Source organism: Homo sapiens, chromosome 3 (genome assembly GCF_000001405.40).
Source record: "Homo sapiens chromosome 3, GRCh38.p14 Primary Assembly".
NCBI lineage: Eukaryota > Metazoa > Chordata > Mammalia > Primates > Hominidae > Homo > Homo sapiens.
Genome location: NC_000003.12, coordinates 54111298 through 54130885, shown reverse-complemented (window position 1 = coordinate 54130885; position 19588 = coordinate 54111298). Strand labels below are relative to the sequence as shown.

The 19588-nt window shown below is 45.7% G+C and overlaps 1 protein-coding gene and 1 long non-coding RNA gene across 2 annotated transcripts in view, besides 1 other annotated feature; one reads left to right on the top strand and one right to left on the bottom strand.

Moving 5' to 3' along the window:
• Window positions 1-8334, bottom strand: part of CACNA2D3 (calcium voltage-gated channel auxiliary subunit alpha2delta 3) — a 952006-nt gene extending 943672 nt beyond the window's left edge. Inside the window, exons 1-2 of the mRNA NM_018398.3 lie at window positions 8051-8334; window positions 7292-7373 (exon numbers count right to left, since the gene is read on the bottom strand). Coding sequence (NP_060868.2) covers window positions 7292-7373; window positions 8051-8172 — 204 coding nt within the window. The 5' untranslated portion in view covers window positions 8173-8334. The remainder of the gene's footprint in view (window positions 1-7291; window positions 7374-8050) is intronic.
• The window catches only part of LOC124909381 (uncharacterized), a 65088-nt gene continuing 52943 nt past the window's right edge, over window positions 7444-19588 (top strand). Inside the window, exon 1 of the long non-coding RNA XR_007095914.1 lies at window positions 7444-7829. This is a non-coding gene — a long non-coding RNA (uncharacterized LOC124909381). The remainder of the gene's footprint in view (window positions 7830-19588) is intronic.
• Window positions 9528-9577: a silencer, noted in NCBI's record as "silent region_14470". NCBI's record gives its function as "represses an Ori minimal core promoter by ATAC-STARR-seq in GM12878 lymphoblastoid cells {active_cell/tissue: GM12878}" and the evidence as "EXISTENCE:reporter gene assay evidence [ECO:0000049][PMID:35858748]".

The window sequence follows — 19588 nt, the reverse complement described above, 5'->3', positions numbered from 1 at the left end:
CAAGCCCATCTGACTCCAAGGCTATGCCCTCTCAGCTGTTAACCCAGGCTTTAATTGTTTCTGAATTAATATCCCAGATGTTTCTCATTTAATCCTCCCAAACACCTGTGAGATCGAAAATTCAGGTATTATGCACATTCTTTTCAAATAGGAACTAAGGTCAGAAAGGATCACGCAAAGACAAGAAAATATAGCACTGTGGCCAGATGTGTAGACCCTGCTCAGTCACCTTGGGGAGGCTGCTTCAGTTCTGCCAGCCTCAGCTTCGCAATCTGTAAAATGGGGTGAATGGTAGTCCCTACCTCATTAGGTTGCTGGGAGAATTTAATGGGATGTCATAAGTAAAGGGCTTATCACAGTACCTGGAATGCAGAAACTACAGCATTGAGCGTTACCTGTTTTTACTATTAGATTAAGCAATTTGCCCAGGGCCACGGTGGAAATGCACACAGAAAAGATAAAAAGAGAGATGCCACTGCTTAAGGCCAATGACCCTTCCTTTAACAACACAGCATCTCCAAAGATGTGAATCTTTGAAAATGCTCCAAGCTCTTGACCTGTTACTCATAAAATAAGAAAATGATTTCATTGGAGATGGAACAAAGGTGGGCAAAGGAAGCCTCCTAGACTGAATGGAGCTGAGAGGGTAAGCTATCCAGCAGGAAAGAGAGAAAGCCAAAACGAGGACAGCCTGTCCCACAGGAGGCTTAGCCAGGGCCCCGCAGTTGGTCTGAGGCTCTGCTGCCACATCCTGGAATTCTTAATAATTTTTTAACAAGGGATTCTGCATTTTGCACTGAGGACCACAAATTACATAGCCAGTTCTGATCTCAGCAAGTCCTCAGATTCAACTGCCTACAAAATTCCAGACGCTGAACAAATCCATGCCTGTTGGACTGGCGTGACTCAGTTCTGTCCTACTGCCCTGGTTCATTCTCTCAAGTCAGCCTCTCTAACATCCAAGAGGACAAGAACAGTCTTCCCCATCAGCAAGCATTATCTGGCACGTTCTGTGATGAGCAGCATCCATTTTTATTGGCACAGGCACGCACACATACACACACTTAATAAGTATTACGGTAATGGCATGTGCAGGCCCCAAATATCAACTGGCAGTTGTTTCACCTAAAATGGAAAACTCGAGGTCTGTTTTGTGAACCCACAGCATTTATAGCCTTACCCACCTTGCCTGTCCAGATCATTTACATGCATAACAGTCCTTTTAACCTTGGGAGGGTACTGTTTTCCATTAACAGGTGCCAAGATAAATACTCTGAAGTGCACAAAGTGAAGGAACAGCCATCCATTTCTTGTGAAAAGATAATGCTTTCCTTTCCAATATGGCCTTGAAATGTGCGCCAATAGTTTGGTTTCTGAGTTGTTTATTTTCATAATGTTGATTTGGGGTAACTGGGAAGCTATGCAACATATAAATTTAATACATGTTATAAATTTAGTGCCTTAAACAGCCTTGGAATGAGCACCCAATGAGTGTTGTTCAAAGCAAATGGAAGTTGAAATGTTTACCATTTATTAGAAATGAACTGGACTATTTTCAAGTATGTATTTGTAAAAAATAATTCCCTTCTGAAAAGTAGACGTGCTGGCTATGCACACAGAAATCCCCTAAAACACATCAGCTATACAAATACCTAATCTGCCAAGGGTGAGCTGTAAGTACAGGCCAAAGTACTGGGCTGTCGAAGGGGCTTAGAGTCTGGTTTTACATTATAGAACAACCACTTCAGACAGAGTCTGTTGGTCACTAAATATTTAGGAAAATCACAAAAAATCAAGCATCCTCCTCTTCCTCATATCATTTTCTTCCTGTAAAGGAGAAGCAAAATTTTGTTTAATGGACCAAAGAGGGCTGATAAGGATTCTGTCAGTTTTACCAGAAGCCTGACATTAGGAACTTTTCCTTTCACTGAATGATACACAAAAGCTTCACTGCAGTCACTCGAGATGAAACCTAGGCCGTTATGTCTCTTGTATAAAAATTACATTTAAAGGGGAAAAAAATCACATATGCTAATTCATAGGTTGGCATTTTATAACATCTGTTTTATTTTTTTCTCAGTTTTGGCCACAGCAAACCTCTAAGTCAAATCACAGTGTCCCAGGGAACACACAATCTGCTAACATTGCCTGTGTAGAAGATGCTGTGGTCTCAACCCAAAGACTGTGCCAACAAGCACTGTGACTACAAAAGATGGAGGGACCCCTGAAGTAGCTGCTGCTCATGTCTGACAGAGGAGATGTGCTGGGGTGAAGAAAAAGCCCGTTTGTTGGCATCATAGCATCTATGATGGTAAATCAGGATTTGTGACAGGCCTGAAATACAGGCTCCTTCGTGAAAATGTACACTTCTTTAGGTAGGCCCAACACACCAAACCATGGATTGATCAATGTAAGTGGGAACCCTAAACACCAAGTGGAGATAAATCCAAGGCTGATGAAGGCTAGAATCCCAAACCTGCACCTCCAAGAATATGTGCTTCAAACTTTAGGGAAATGAAACACCTGGGAGGGCCACAGGTGCCGGGTGTGATGGTTTCGCATTTCTTTTACTTTTGCTCATGCTGACATATGGCTATGTCTTCATCAAAAACTGGAAATAATAACTGTGTCAGCTCAGGCCCAATGGATTTCAGAATTATCAGGTGGTTTGGTATTCATGTGTTTGCCTAAAAATTGCAGTAGTGTTAGAATTAATTAATTAAAATCAGCATGCGATCACCATGCTAATCAATCAAAATTATAACCACATGGGAATTAAAAATTTGAAGTTTGCCTCCAACCAGAAAACCATGCCTATATTTTCATTTTCCCTTAATTTTGAGTAGCATCTGTTGGTCTCCTGAGCAACACAGGCCGCAGCAGTTCCTAATGGGAGAAAAGGCAAAGTAGAAATGTATCTGGCAGAAAAGAAATTTTAAGGAGAAAAAAAACAAGTTAAAGGAAAAGAAAAAAAAAATGAGCAAAAAAGGCTCAGACCGAAAGTTAGCAAGTGGTCATGAGTAACTCTACAAGTGCAATGAGCTATATGCATAAGAGGCACAAACTGAATGCTCATTGGTTTGCCCTGCTCTGCTACTGTCTGGGTGATTGTGTTAATGAGACCAATAAACTGCCCTGAATGATTAAAAACTGTCACTTCAGAGATTTCAAGCTTTTAAAAATAACCTGCTAAGGAAAAGTCCAGTATTTAAAGTAATGCTATGAATTAAAGCATCCGCAGCATAGGTTGAACGCATTTATCATTCAGGATGGCAAATAACTGTGTTTATTCAACACAAAATGTTAGCAAAACAGCGCCTCCCCCACAAGAGCAATCTGAAGAGTGCTGGGCTTCCCACGAGCAGCAAGGCACTGCTACCTAATTCCTGATAAGTGAATACACCTATTCAGTTATTTAAAAGTCCACCGATTTTCACATTGATGAAAAGTCATAATTATAAAAATGGCTTAAAGCACCAACCTTTTACTTTGCTGACTCTGTCCTGTGGAAAGAGATATCAACTTTATATATTAAGGCTGCCCTCTCAATAAATAGTTGATAATGTAAAAAACAGATTGTGCATTCCAAGATGTGCGTGTTTGGTAAGTGCTCCATGAGGCGTCCAAGGTAAATGTCAATTCTGTTCCAGCGTTACTGGCAGAGACACACATTACCTGTATTTCCGTTGTGTATTTATCATCATGATTCTGGAAAATGTAACTGGAACCCTTCATTCCCGTGAACATTGGTTCCCCGAATGCAGGTCTAAATAGAATGAAAAACCCAGCTCCTATCCAATTCTCCCTGAGGAGGATGAAATGAGAATCAGCCAGTTTAATGCCTTTGATTGTGATTGTTAGAGGTGTGGAGACTGAGTTTAACAGCCTAGGTTCCCGGACCTACTAGAATGCTTCTCACTGAATCCCAAAATACAGCGGTAATGAAACTATGCCTCCCCAAAAGAACCAAACAAAGTCCATTCTTCGGGGAAAATGAAGCAAGATAAAGGCAGCTGAATACTGACTGGCATGGATATATCAAATCAGAAACTTAATTAAAAGTTGAAGTGAACGGAAACCCCTGCAGTATCTGCCAGCTTAGCAAGGCAGCACACAGGCATACAGCGGCGCACCAGCACCATCCCTCCAGGGGCCTGCTATTCTCTCACAGCATCTAAAACCCCTCAAGATGAACTCCAGCGCCCACAGACAAGTCCCACAATCTTCCATTCTGTACTGAAAACAGACAAATTTCCTAAAAGATGGCTTACTGCGTTTTATAAAATCAAAACTATCCTATTTCTAAGGACCTAACAGGTTGCTATTCCTGTGCTCAGTAAAGACAGAAGAAAAAAATATAGGGGCTATCTGGCATTGAATACCTAATATATTATAATAGGCTAAAGCGGCAAAACCCATGGTATTAAACATAGAAACAACTGATAAAATACTCTTATTTCTGAAGCCATAACAAGGTACATTGCTAAATGTTTGTGTTTACATTGATGAAGTCAGTAACAATACTGCTACCTCAAATTATATCACCTAATAAAAACATGTTACCAAAATGGCAGTTTTCCCAGTCACTAAACACCTTAAAATAGATGCATGGCCAATTATTATTTAACTTATATTCATAATAACTACTTTGTAAAGTGTATGTTTTAGTGCAAAAATGACTAAACTTCCATTCTAAAAATGAACACACTATATTGATTCACAACATGAAGTGTCAATTAGTGAAACTACATAAAATACATAAAATTATATGGTGGTATACAGCACACCTTACTTAACTGAAAATCAAGTTTAAAAATCCATGCCTTAAAAAGAGCAATTACACTCTATTATACAACATAGTATTGTCATCTTTGAGTCCCCTTAATACAGTGTTAATGCATTTTCCAGCCAAATTTTCTAACTCATTTTGAAAGCATCTTAATTGTTAAGGACACAGTGATATGATGGCAGGGTGCACAGAGCTCTGACTTAGAGGAGTAATTCCTCATGCAAATGGACAGAAACTTGAAAATTAGCAAAAGAGAAGCAATTATCCACTTGTTTTTCCAAATGATGTTATGTCTCCTACACTCTGAGCACTCAGATCTACTCCCATTCATACTCTGAACTCTCTAAACCAATGTTCTTTGCTAATTTTAAAAATACAAAAGCATTTGCGGGGATAGTGGACCAAAACAGCCAAAACATAGCTGAAAAATGCTCCCCAAGTTGTCTAACATGCTCCCCCACCACTTATGAAAGTCTCTGCCAAGTAACCCAAAGCCGTGAGTATTTCAGGACCCCCAGAGCAGACGATTCCAAACCAAGGACTAGGGTGGACACCCACCCTGGAACGCAATGCCAAGCAACACCTCACCTTTCCCTCGCATCAGATTACAAAATGCCAGGCAGCAGCAAGAAATGATAACAAAGCCATAAACAGCTGGAAATAATTACACAATTGTCAAGCTGCAAACATGACAAAAGCAAAGCAAAGCTAGTGAATTCAATATCAGAAAGGATGCTGATGAGAAGGTAAGAGAAGCATTTCAGCCTTTTCCAATTTGCTGTTATAGAGTAGCAAATAATAAGGTTGACGGAGTTTTGTGCAGTGTGTGTGTGTGTGTGTGTGTGTGTGTGTGTAACTTCAAAGAGAAAGAAAAAAACATATTTAATGTGTTCCTAGAAAATGTGGGATAAAAGATATGAAAGCACAACCAAAAAATATTAACAGGCTCTGAAGGGATTCTTTTAGAGTTGCTACAACTACAACGTGCAGATGAGAAATACTTCTTTAAAGTTATACAAAATGTTATCTTCTTTAAAAGCATAAGAAAAATATAAAGGCAATGCTACAGTCCAGAATTCATCACATCAAACATCTGACAAGTGGGCAAAATGCCAAAGCAGGAGACAGATTGGTCCAGATTAAAAGAATACTAGGGAAAGAGGCAATTCCTATGCAATTCCTTTAAGTGCCGAGGTGGGCCACAGGTATGTAAATTCTCATCTTCCACGAGGGCATTTCGTAGCCTCAACTGTTTACCAACTGCCTATAATTCAAGAACACCTTCCCAAACAACAGAGTTGAGCAAGCAATCTTTCAATGAATAAGGTTTCAATGAATAAGGCTATTGGCGATTTTTAAACCATAATAACTTTTGTCATTCCATGGTGGGCCAACGCTTTATTACGATATTTGGATTTCATGTGGCAAACTGTTTCATATACTGTCCCCAAAAATGCTACTCTCTGAAGGGGAATGCCATAAATAAAATACGTACTTGGTTACCAGGCAGCATGCATAACACATATGGTACATTGGCCCAAAAATCATATTTTAAAATGTTTAAAAGTTAACTTAACAATTTAAGCTGTTTGTACCCATTTTCAGAGAATTATTCCCTAAAGGCCAATTTTATTTTCTATCATCAAGAGAATACTTTGATTAATCCTGTTGATCTGCTAACTTGAAATTCTTTGAACCCCTCTAATCTCTCCTCCCAGACCCATTTTTTTTTCTTTATTTCCTGAAGGGGAGAACGAAGGACCATTTATCTCACAATGTAATTTTAAGCTTATGCTTAAAATGCTGCCTATTTGAATTAAAATTGATGCAGCTTGTGATAAGAACCTAATAATCAATTCTCCATTCTCATTACTCTCCAGAATTACATGGATGCAGACCCATTTCTTAAGTTTGTGGACTACTCTCATAGGTTATTACCCGGCAGTGCAGCTGAGTGGAAAGATAACCACATTCATTCTCCTTATCTGCAATGATGTAATGCATCCTAGCCCTGGGTCTAGATGATTGGGGAATAATGGGATTGTACAACTGCAGGGATGACAAACAATAGTGCAGCGTCTTTCTCTGATACACTGAACCCCACGCCTCCAACGCAAGGTGAAAGGCATCACAAAATAGGCACTGAGTCTGCCCCTTGGATGAAGTTAGCATTTTTTGGCCCGAGGAGCATCTGCTCTGGCACTGAAACAGCAATACCGACACGGAGACGAGAGCCATGCAAAAACACTCAGTTTCCGAGCCCCAGCCAGGACAGTGCGAGTGAGTATCCTGCTTTTCTTTGTGGTTAGAATCAAGTGTCATCTAAAAATAACCGGTTGGTAGGAAGAAGTCACTGCATAGTACAATGCCAAGAAACCCGGGGATCAGAGAGTCCTCCGATAACTGATGCTGCTCGGGGCTCACGTTTGTTTGGAAAACTAAATCTGCCTCCATTTTCTGTGCCGGAAAAATCATCGCTTCCTGCCACCACAGAAACCTTACCTTTTGCAGAAGCTGGGAACCGGAGTACTTAGCAGCAATGGATTTTATCTCCCCACCAAAAGCCGAGGCCCAGAGCTTCACCCTACAGGGAGAAGGGGCACAGGAAGATATGTAACACCCGTGTCACAGTCAACACGCACGCACACGCACACGCACACATGGGACTATGGCTGAAGGAGCAGTGCGATGTAACATGTTTTAAAAGAAGAAAAGATAGAAAAAGCGGCTTGGTAGAAACTGCCAGCACCAAAACTGCAAAGCGCAGCGCGGGAGGGGGCCCGAGGGGGGTCGCGGAGTTAAGAATGCGCAAAGTCTCCCAGGCTCTCTAAAAAGACCACTGAGTTTCATTCGAACCACTGCCCGAGGACTCGACCCCCCAAACTGGGCATCACCTGGCAAATAGCAGTCAGAAGAAATCCACCCATCCCCCCCCCAAAAAAAGAAGTGGGGCGGCAGTAGAGCAAAGAGGGGGGAAATTCAGCGGCCCATGGAAGTTGGATTCGGTAACCAGGCTCCAAAGTTGGTGCCGTCACTTGAGGTGAGCCTCTCCAGATCTCACTCGGCAACCTGCGGGCAGGGGCCAGAGCATCCCACCCCGGCCTCGCCGCCCGACGCGGGTCCCGAAAGGCAGGTGCGAGCGGCGAGGCCGACGCCCGCGGCGGGTCCTGCCCAGCCGCACCTGCAGGCGCCCAAACTTGGGCACAGTGGGTCGCAGGCGGCAAGGTCCCCTCCCCGGGCGGCGCAGGAGCCGGCACTTACACGGAGAGCGGTATCTGCTGCTCCGAGCGCACCACGTCCCCCAGCGCGGCGTAGAGAAGCGCGGCAGCGAGAAGCGCCGAGGCCCCCCGGGACGCGCGGCGCGGCGAGCCCGGCCCGGCCATGCTGGGCTCCCTCCGACGCGCCCGCTGCGGCGGCGACGAGAGCGGCCGCGGGGAGCTGCGCGGAGCGGGCGGTGGGCGAGCGCGCGGGGCTGCCTGCTCCGCTCCGCGCCGCCCCGCCTGCCTCTCGCGCGCCCGGCTCACTTGGGGAGCAGAAAAAGGAGCGGGTGGGGGGGGCGGGGAGGGCGGAGAGGAGAGGGAGGGAGGAGAGGTGGGGAGGGAGGGAGGAGAGGTGGGGAGGGAGGCGGGCGGGGGAGGAGGCAGCGAGACGCGCCTCTAGCAGCAGCAGCCGCCCGGCCCCGCCTCGGCGGCCCCGGGGAGTCCGGCGGGCCGCGGCGGGAGGGCGGCGGGGCAGGAGGCGCCGCGCGGGCGGGGACTCGGAAACTCCAGTGTCCTTGGCCGCGGCGGAGCGCGCCCTGCCCCACCCGGGCTACTGCGGCCGCTGAGTTCTTTACAACTCCGCAGTCCGCCACCGCGGGCGCGACTCTGGGGCTGGCCCCGGGCCGGGCGACCCTAGCCAGGGTGGGGGTTGGGGGCGCGGGAGGGAAGCCGAGGGCAGGGCGCGGCGCTCCGCACTTTGCGGGCGGCTGCTAGGAGAGGGCGTAGCATGCCCGCTCCGCCCCTGGGCCGGGCGGGGTCGGGGGCCGCGGAACCTAAAGGGGGCGCGCCCTCCGCCCCCGCCGCGCGATTCTCCTGCGGGGAGGGAGCTGGGGAAGAAGCAGAAATCTCAGAAAGGAGCACAGGCTCGCGGCGGCAGGCGGGATCGCACGCGGGGCGGATCGGGCTGGGGATGGGACTGGGTGGGAGCTCGGGGCTCTGGCTAGGGCAGCGCTGCGTGACCGCCCGCAGCTGCTCCTCCGGCCGCGGCGCCCGACAGGGGAAAGCACGGAGGGCGGTGCTGCCACCACGGCTTGGGCGCACCAGCGCGGGGCTCCCGGCATCCGGCCGCAGCGCAGCGGCCCCCTGCGCGCCCGACCCAGGCCCCGGGGCTCCCCAGCGGCCGCTGCCTTCGGAGTCCGCCCGGCTGCGGTGACTGGTGGGGACCGGGATGTCAGGGTTGAGCGAGGAAGCCAACGCGGCGCCGAGTCGATCCTGACCGGGGGACACCCTGGATTTCGGGATAAAAGATTTCTCCGAGCCTGGGGGATTGCCTGCTCCCCACTCCGGCGCCCACCGCACTGGGCAGGAGGCAGTGAGCGCCGGAGGAGGCGCCTTCTCGCCGCCCTCAGGGGCGAGGAGAAAGGAAGCCGGAGAAGCCCCTGCGCGTTCTGGGAACCAGGCTTCTCCCCGCCTCTCTCGCCGCTGCCCCCACCCCGGGACCCAGCTTGCAGAACCCCTCTCCCCCGTGCGAGGTATGGGGTGTGATTGGGAACTTTGTGGAGCCCTCGCGCAGGCTGGCGGTAAAGACCGACCGGAGTGAGGCTGAGTCATCCTTGCCCGGCCAAGCGCAACTCCGGTGACCCCAGCAAGGAGTGCGCTCCTAACGTCGCCGGGGCTCCCGGCGCACCAGACACCTGGGTTCATATTTGCATGCCTTTCTGCAACCAGGGCTTTGCTTTCTGCCCCGTCACCCGCCCTTGGCCTCAGCATCCTCAGGTTGCAGGGAAGTAAGGGCGGGCTCCAGCTTCCGCCAGGTGGTGTCCGGCTAGGAGCCAGGCCGGCTCTCCTTTCCAGTAGTCCCTGGAAAAAGTTACCCCTGCAGATGTTGGGCTTGATCTCAGAGTTGGCAGCGAGGGAGAAGGACTGCTACCGAGAGGCTCTTAGTGCTTTTCCCGAGTGCGGGCAGACCCGAGCTCCCCTGGGCTCTGGCAGGTCGCGCTCCCACCTTGGGGGGCAACGCAAGGAACAGGCCCCTCTCCAGGAGCGCCAGGTGCGCCCCGCCCGCGGGCAGTGTCTACAGCCTCTACGGATGACTAACCGGTTATAATGAATTCTCCGCTTCTGTGCATACCCTCCGCCTGAGGAAGCGTGCCAGCCCTTTCCAAACCGAGCCAAGCGCGGCCTGACCCCCGAGGCAAGGGGTCCCAGGAGTTGACCCTCAAATTGGGGGTTAGAAGAAAATGTGTTTTCCTATCAGAACGCGGGATCGTTCTTCCTAAATGAAAGCATAGTGAATGAACCAGTGAGTGAGTGCATGCTAGCTCTTAGTAAGACCATCCGTTTCCCACATGGTATCTATATGATGACGCCCTTCATGCCTTCACTCATTCATGTAGTCAATAACTGTCAATCAGCCTCTATTGATAGGTACAGTAGGACATGCTGGGAAGCCAGTAGTGAACAAAGCAGGCTCTCTGCCCTCACCGAGTTTATACACTACGAAGAGGACAGGCTTTACTGCAAAAACCATAATGGTAAATGCACAATTATACACTTTGACAAGGGAAAAACAATACTGTGTATGAAGAAAAAGTACCTGTGACACCCATACTATTGTTGTGCCTATTAACTGATGAGAACATCGAGGCACGGCAAAGTCATACAGCTTAAGTCATATTTAAGCAACTGCTTGACTGCTGGACTATACTGAAGACCACCTGGGCACCAAGGTCATGAAGACATTTCGTAATAAAGTCACTATGCGTTGCCAGCCTGACACAGGTGAATTTCGCAGTTGTCTCGGGCAACTAGAGAGTAGCGATGAGAGGCCAGGCACAGGAAGTCACAGTCCCAGGAGGAGAGTGTTTTGAGCATTTGTAACGCAGGCCATCTTAGGCAGAACATTATGCACGTTACATTTAAGATGGATCCCGCTAACCATATCCTAGTATCTCAAAAATAAAAAATATTTAAACTAATACTAATAAACTCAGAACTCAAAGTGTCCAAAGATTTGGGGTCTTACCACTTACACACTGTAATATTCTTTCCAGAATCACAAAAATCAGTGCTGAAAGGGATCTGTAAGCAATCTAGTCTTGCAGTCTTATTTTAACAGAGAGGAAACTTGAGGCCCAGAAGGATTTAGCCACTTGTCCAAAGGCACACACCCCTTAAAGAGAATCTCCTCACTTTGAACCAGGGAGTTCCTGCAGCTACATGAGAATAAGGGACCAGGAGCACCTTCCAGTAAGCCAAATGCAGTACCAGGGCATTGGGCACTACTTGCCATTTTCACCCAAAAGCTTATATTTCAACACCCAACTCTCAGTTGAAGCATGGAATCCAGAGAAATAAAACTTTCATTGGTAGACCTATGCACTCCATCCCACCTAGCTGAGGATGTCGCACTTTGTCCTGCAACAGTGAGGAGCTGCTGGAGGTGTTTGAACAGAAGTGAAAGATGATGACACAGAAGTGAATGTTTTAGGAGCATTCACCTGATCCAGCATATGGAAGGGATTCTGGAGGAGCCCCTAGAGCAGTGGTTCTCAGTGCGCAAGAGGGCATTGCCCTTGGGGGCATTTTGAACAGCTGGGACTTTTTTTTTTTTTTTTGAGACGGAGTCTTGCTTTGTTGCCCAGGCTGAAGTGCAGTGGCACAATCTCGGCTCACTGCAACCTCCACCTCCCAGGTTCAAGTGACTCTCATGCCTCAGCCTCCCAGGTAGCTGGGATTACAGGGGCCTGCCACCATGCCTGGCTAATTTTTCTATTTTTAGTAGAGACAGGGTTTCACCATGTTGGCCAGGCTGGTCTTGAACTCCTGATCTCAAGTGATGTGCCTGCCTCAGCCTCCCAAAGTGCTGGGATTACAGGTGTGAGCCACTATGCCTGGGCTAGTTGGGATTTTTTCTGTTTGTCATGACTTGGGGTCCTACTGGCATTTAGTTGATAGGGGCAGAACAGGCCCATGCAAGGACTTTCAAGTACCCCACTGAACATTCAGGTAAGAGAAAAACCCCACTTATAAGCATCTGAATCTAGCATTAAAAGCCATTTTGTACATAAATTAAGAGGAGTTTTTGCATGGCTTTAATAAACACCATATTTTCCAGGAATGCAATTACAATATAAATAAAGGCATGGTTGTCTTCTGTTTTGTTCAGAACCTTACCAAGAAGTTGTTTGGTTGCTTGAGGTTTGTTTGATTTGTTGTTGTTGTTTTTCATTTTGGAAAATCTCCAACAGCAACTGTGCTCACAGATCCTGAGTTACCAACACACACACCTGTATCAGTCTGCATTTGGGGTGTGGCATTCACAGTTAGTCTGCACATAAGCACAAACAGCTAATAATGTCATTAGATCTTGTAGTTACATCTTGTGCGAGCATTTCATTTAAATACTTCTTATTTTATTATAAATTACTTTTATTTTACTTCTCTTTGCTGTTGCCAAATAAGGCATCATACTGTCTTTTTAAAATTCTGACTTTGATTAGGTTATATTGTCTCAGAATTTCATGTCAGGATAGTAAAGGAGGTGTTGAGTCTATCTGGGTAAATATCTACTGTGAAAGGAATACCAGCTAAAAGGCTGAGATGTTGCTGATGAGGAAGCAAAATGGTTCACTCAAAAGGAGGAAAATGGCAAATGCTTTCACATTTAACCCAGCAATTCCTCTTCTGGAAATTTATCTTACAGTTACTGTATTAGTCTGTTCTCATGCTGCCATGAAGAAATGCCCAAGACTGGTTAATTCGTAAAGAAAAGAGGTTTAATTGATTCACAGTTCCACATGTCTGGGGAGACCTCAGGAAACTTAGAATCATAGCAGAAGGCACCTCTTCACAGGGCAGCAGGAGAGAGAATGTGTGCAAGCAGGGGAAATGCCAGATGCTTATAAAACCATCAGATCTTGTGGGATTCACTCATTATCACGAGAACTGCATGGGGGAACCACCCCCATAATCTAATTACCTCCACCTGGTCCTGTCCTTGACAGGTGGGGATTATTATAATTCAAAGTGAGATTTGGGTGGGGACATAAGAGCCAAACCATATTATTCTGCCCCTGGCCCCTCCAAAATCGCATGTCTTCACATTTCAAAATGCAGTCATGCCTTTCCAACATTCCCCCAAAGTCTTAACTCATTCCAGCATTAACCCAAAAGTTCAAGTCCAAAGTCTCATCTGAGACAAGGCAAGTCCCTTATGCCTATGAGCCTGTAAAATCAAAAGCAAGTTAGTTACTTCCTAGATACAGTGGGGGTACAGGCATTAGGTAAATATATGCATTCCAAATGAGAGAAATTGGCCAAAACAAAGGGGTTACAGGCCCCAGGCAAGTTTGAAATGCAGTAGAGCAGTCATTAAACCTTAAAGTTCCAAAATGATCTCCTTTGACTCCATATCTCACAACCTGGTCTTGCTGATGCAAGAGGTGGGGTCCCACAGCCTTGGGCAGCTCCACCCCTGTGGTTTTGCAGGGTATAGCCCCCCTCCTGGCTGCTTTCATGGGCTGCCATTGAGTGTCTGCAGCTTTTCCAGGGGCACAGTGCAAGCTGTCAGTGGATCTACCATTCTGGAGTCTGGAGGACAGTGGCCCTCTTCTGACAACTCCACTAGGCAGTGCCCCAGTGGGACTCTGTGTGGGGGCTCCCATCCTACATTTCTCTTCCACACTGCCCTAGCAGAGGTTCTCTATGAAGGCTCTGCCCCTGCAGCAAACTTCTGCCTGGACATGCAGGCATCTCTATACGTCCTCTGAAATCCAGGCAGAGGTTCCCAAACTTCAATTCTTGAATTCTGTGGACCCACAGACCTAAAACCACATGTAAACTGTCGAGTGTTGGGGCTTGAACCCTCTGAAGCAACAGTCCCAAGCTGTATGTTGGCCCCATTTAGCCATGGCTGGAGCTGAAGCAGCTGGGACATAGGGCACCATGTCCTGAGATTGCATAGAGCAGGGGGTCCCCGGGCCTGGCCCACAGAACAATTTTTCCCTCCTTGGCCTCTGGGACTGTGATGAGATGGGCTGCTGTGAAGGTCTGTGACATGCCCTGGAGATATTTCCCCATTGTCTTGGCTATCAACATTCAGCTCTTTGTTACTTATACAAATGTCTGCAGCTGGCTTGAGTTTCTCCTCAGAAAATTGGTTTTTCCTTTCTGTCACATTGTCAGGCTGCAAATTTTCCAAACTTTATGCTCTGCTTCCTCTTAAATGCTCTGCCACTTAGAAATTTCTTCTGCCAGATACCCTCAATCGTCTCTCTCAAGTTCAAAGTTCAACAGAGATCTAGGTCAGGGGCACAATGCTGCCAGTCTCTTTGCAAAAGCATAGCAAGAGTGACCTTTACTCCGGTTCTGAACAAGTTCCTCATCTCCATCTGAGACCACCTCGGCCTAGACTTCGTTGTCCATAACACTATCAACATTTTGGTCAAAGCCAATCAACAAGTCTCTAGGAAGTTCCAAACTTTCCTACATTTTTCCTTTCTTCTTCTGAGCCCTCCAAATTGTTCCAACCGCTGCCTGTTACCCAGTTCCAAAGTTACTTTCACATTTTTGGGTATCCTTATAGCAGCACCCAACTCCTGGTACCGATTTACTGTATTAGTCTGTTCTCACACTGCTATGAAGAAATACCCAAGACTGGGTAATTTTTAAAGAAAAGAGTTTTAATTGACTTACAGTTCCACATGGCTAGGAAGGCCTCAGGGAACTTACAATCATGGCAGAAGTCATTTCTTCACAGGGTGGCAGGAGAGAGAATGAGTGCAAGCAGGGGAAATGCCAGATGCTTACAAAACCATCAGATCTTGCGAGACTCATCCACTATCATGAGAACAGCATGGGGGGAAACTACCCCCATGATCTGATTACCTCCACCTGGTCCCACCCTTGACATATGGAGATTATTACAATTCAAATTGAGATCTGGGTGATATCAGTTACTGAATGACATGCATATGCAGTTACTCATCACTGCACTATCTTCAAGAGCAGAAGACTGGAAACAACCCAGCTGACTATCAGTATATGATTGGTTAAAGAAACTGATACATCCACACAATACAATATTATGCAGCCGTTTTTGAAAAATGAGGAGGCTTTCTACATATAGAGGTGAAAATATCTCTAGGATATATTAATTGTTTTAGAAGCAGGGTACATAACAGAGTATATGGGATGCTACTTTTGTGTGAGAAGGGGGAAAAATAAGAACACATTTGTGTATTTGCTTAAAGAAATAATGGAAGATATGCAAGAAACTGCTAATAGTTATTCCATGTTCAGAGATTGGGGGAACAGAGGAGATGGAGACAGGAGTGAGAGAGACATTTTACAATGTATATCATTGTAAATCTTCTGTTTTGTTTTGCTTTGTTTTGAGTTGCAGTCTCGCTCTGTCACCCAGGCTGGAATGCAGTGGCGTGATCTCAGCTCACTGCAACCTTCTGCCTCCTGGGTTCAAGCAATTCTCCTGCGTCAGCCTCCTGAGTAGCTGGGATTACAAGCATGTGCCACCATGCCTGGCTAATTTTTGTATTTTTAGTAGAGACGGGGTTTCACCATGTTGGTCAGGCTGGCCTCGAACTCCTGACCTCGTGATCTGCCCGCCTCGGCCTCCCAAAGTGCTGGGATTACAGGCGTGAGCCACCATGCCCGGCCTCATTTTGATTTTTGAGCTATGTGAATATATTACTTATTCAAAGCAATAAGAATACAGCTTTTCATAGTTTTTGTAACAGTTTAGCTAGTGGGGTGTGGGCTAGAGTGGAGGGAGCAGACATTAGAGTGAAATGTGAAGGACATTTAAAATCCTTGATCCCCTACAGAAGTGTTTCTCAAACCCTGAGAGGTCCTGATTCAGGAAGTCCAAGTTGGGGTGTGAGGCAGAGGGACATCTATATTTCTAATCAGCTTCTGGGAGGATTCTGATGCCCATAGCCATGGAGGACTTTTTGTAAGCACAAAGCTTCTCTTACAGGTGTAGAGCCTACAGAAGTATGGACTTTGGGGTCACACAAACCTAGGTTCAAATTGTGGCTTACCCTCATCCTAGCTGCATGATGTTGGTCAAGTTACCTAACCTCTCCAAACACCCTTTTCTCAACCGCAAAGGATGGATAACAAAGAACTGACTTCACACGAACATACGGAGGATGAAATGGGATAATGCAGCTAAGTATTCAATAAGCATTATTTATTACCTTCATCTGGCAAACACAGCAGCCTTTCAGCACCCAGGTACTGCTCTGGCTCTCACTCTGCCTGGGCGTGCAAAGCCACAGGGAACCCTTCCCTCCATCCCCCCACCACTGCTGCCTGGCCCAGACCTTTATCATTTTATCCCTATACTTCTGCGACTGATTCCTACTGGGTCATCCCTCCTCCTTTTGTCCCCTTCAAATACATCTTTCTTCCCACAGTGACCAGAGCCATCTTTTCAAAAACAAAAATCAGACCCTGAGAATTCCCTGCTCAAAATCCTCCAATGGCTTCTGTTTCAAATTCAAATGCAGACTCCTTACCAGAGCACCCAAGATCCTTGGCTACCCCTGCAGCCTCCCTGTCCCTCCCTCTCTCCCTTGCCTGCTGTGCCCCAGCCTCCTTCTCCTTGGAGTTTCCAGAACAAGCCAAGCTTGATCCCACCTCGGTTCTTTGCTTGTGTTGTGCCCTCTGCCTGGATCGCTCTTCTTCCACATTGTTTCTCACTGAATTTGGTTTCCTGCTCAGAAGTCCCCTGTGTGGGGAGAACTTCCCTGAACACCCCAGGTGAAAAAGAAACACACACACACCCCTCTGAACTGTTACCTTACTTCATTTTTCTTCCTAGCAGTTATCACTACTGATTTATTTGTTATTTGTTTACACTGTCTCCCCCACTGGATGGGATGTGTCCACCTTCTTCATCACATAAACATAATGGGTTAGCAAGGCCTTAAATGTTGTGGAAGCTCAATAAGCATCAACTGCATGGAGGGGCAAAGAAGGGGAGGATGCCAGATTGGAATTCTTTTCTGCTCAGGTCCTGCCTCTTCCCATTCTTCCTAGGCTGTGGCTTACCCTAGACACAGATCCTTTACAAAAGCACTTGATTTGCCAAGAAAAAGAGAACCTGGGAAACTGTTTCTCTCAAGAGAATCCTCAGTTACATCCCTGTGGGAGGATGCCGGTTGAAAGAGGAGGAGAAGGAGGGATAAAGAAGACACTATAAAAACGCCACATCAAATGCTGTTTTTGAAGCTGTCAGAGGAATCTTTACAAAAAGCATGTAGGGTGGAAGATGGTATGTCAGGAGGTATTAACATGTGAAACATTCAAACAATGCAGATGTTTCAAAAGGATGATTGGCATGTGATCACCTGTTTCTAAAATCATAACCTGGTAGGAAAGGAAGACCTATGGAAGCTAAAGAGCAAGGCAGGGGAAGAGGTCGCTCCTCAAGGCTGGAGTGGATGTCCCATCAGCAGGAAGTGATACATGTCTCTTAAAATGAGAAACATGACCACATTAGCAGGCCCAAACCAGGTGATGTGGCCCCTGACCTCCTTACAATGCATGCATTTGCAGCCTTCCCTTCATTGAGTTGTTTTCATTGATAACAACTATTTTTTAAATGCTGAATTTTGGCCAGGCGTGGTGGCTCATGCTTGTAGTCCCAGCACTTTAGGAGGCCAAGGTGGGAGGATCGCTTGAGCCCAGGAATTGGAGAACAGCCTGGGCAACACAGTGAAACCCTGTCTCTATAAAAAATACAAAAATTAGCCAGGCGTGGTTGTGGACGCCTGTAGTCCCAGCTACTCAGGAGGCTGAGGTGGGAGAATCATCTGAGCCTGGGAGGTCGAGGCTGCAGTGAGCTGTGATCAGGCACTGCAGTCTAGCAGGGGTGACAGAGCAAGACCCTGTCTCAATAAGTTAATGCTGAATTTCAGTAGTGTAAATATATCTTACCCATTAAAACATTTTTTCATGGTTGTGTTTTGGGGACATACAGTATTTAAACTCCAAGAATATCTATAATTTTAAAACATTGTCTTCGCCTGTATTACTTTTATAATAAAGATAAGTATTTAAAATCTTATATGAAATAAGCAGATTTAAAATATATATGGAGTCTCTCTGTTTGAAGTCAACTTTGGACTCAACCTCTCATCCCAGGCCAGGTTCCCCAGTGCTATTCAGCAACCCCTCACGCTATTTAATAAGCTACACATTGGAAAACAAGCCACTTTTAAGATAAGTTAAATAAAATTATTTAGGGTGGTAAATGATCTATTTAAACGCACACACATTCCAAAGGTGAATATAAGTTTGCCACTATTTTTAAGTACTAGTCAATCATTCTCTGTCTCAGTCTTTCTGTCTCTCTGCCTCTCAGCATAGACTGAAGTTGGCAGCAAGAACTGAGCATAACGTGCTATTCTAAAAAGAGAACATTAAATCCTCAGCTCATTTAGAGAGTATGGGGTCCCTTAATTGTATGACCACTTCATTCCATCATGATTATGCACATATACCATTTCCTGTTACATGAGCTGGTGAGGAGTTGACCCCTCATCACGTAATAGCCTAGTTATTACAAAATATTCTAAGTGGTCAAATAAACATGGACTTTTTTTTCTATGGTAGATCTTTAGTAATCACATATTTAAGGAGAAATGTTTGAAGTTAAGGAGTACAGGGCCTAATACAAATTCACTGGAATAATTAAAATTTATTTGACATACTTGCTCTTTAAAATGTGAATTAAAATGAAAATATCATTTAATCAAAAATTTTCAAACCCTTTGCAAATTCTTTTTTTTTCTTGTTTTCTTTCAGGGAATGGAATGCAAATTCTAATGTTAAGAATTTTACTTAGGGAAATAAGCATGAGCATAAAATATTTAGCTGTAAGAATATTTATTATAGTATTGTCTATAATAGAATAAGAAACCACTTACCTGCCTTAAAAATGGGGTATTGTTTAATCATAGTTGATTAATGTAATATTGTGCTGCTATAAAAAATGATGTTGATACCTTAACTACAAAAAAAGATTTAAAAATGTATTGTTATGTAATACAAATTTATATAATACTAATCCAATACATTAAAATAGTTATTACCAATGAATGCATATAAACCATACAAGTATCTCAAATGTCTTTATTATCAGTGAGATTATGTTTTTCTTTTTGTCTCTATTCAATTATTTCTTTTAAATTATAGAAGCAATGTGTTCACATAATTTTTAAAATAGTTCGGCTGGGTATGGTGGCTCACACCTGTAATCCTAGCACTTTGGTAGGCCAAGGCAGGTGGATCACTTGAGGTCAGGAGTTCGAGACCAGTCTGGCCAACATGGTGAAACCCTGTCTCTACTAAAAATACAAAAAAATTAGCTGGGCAGGGTGGTGCGTGTCTGTAGTCCCAGCTACTTGGGAGGCTGAGGAAGGAGAATCACTTGAGCTCTGGAGGTGGAGGTTGCAGTGAGCCGAGATCACGCCACTGCACTCCAGCTTGGGCTACAGAGTGAGACTGCATCTCAAAAAAAAAAGCCCCAAAGGCCACATTTACAATAAGGAACAGCAATGTACTTATGATG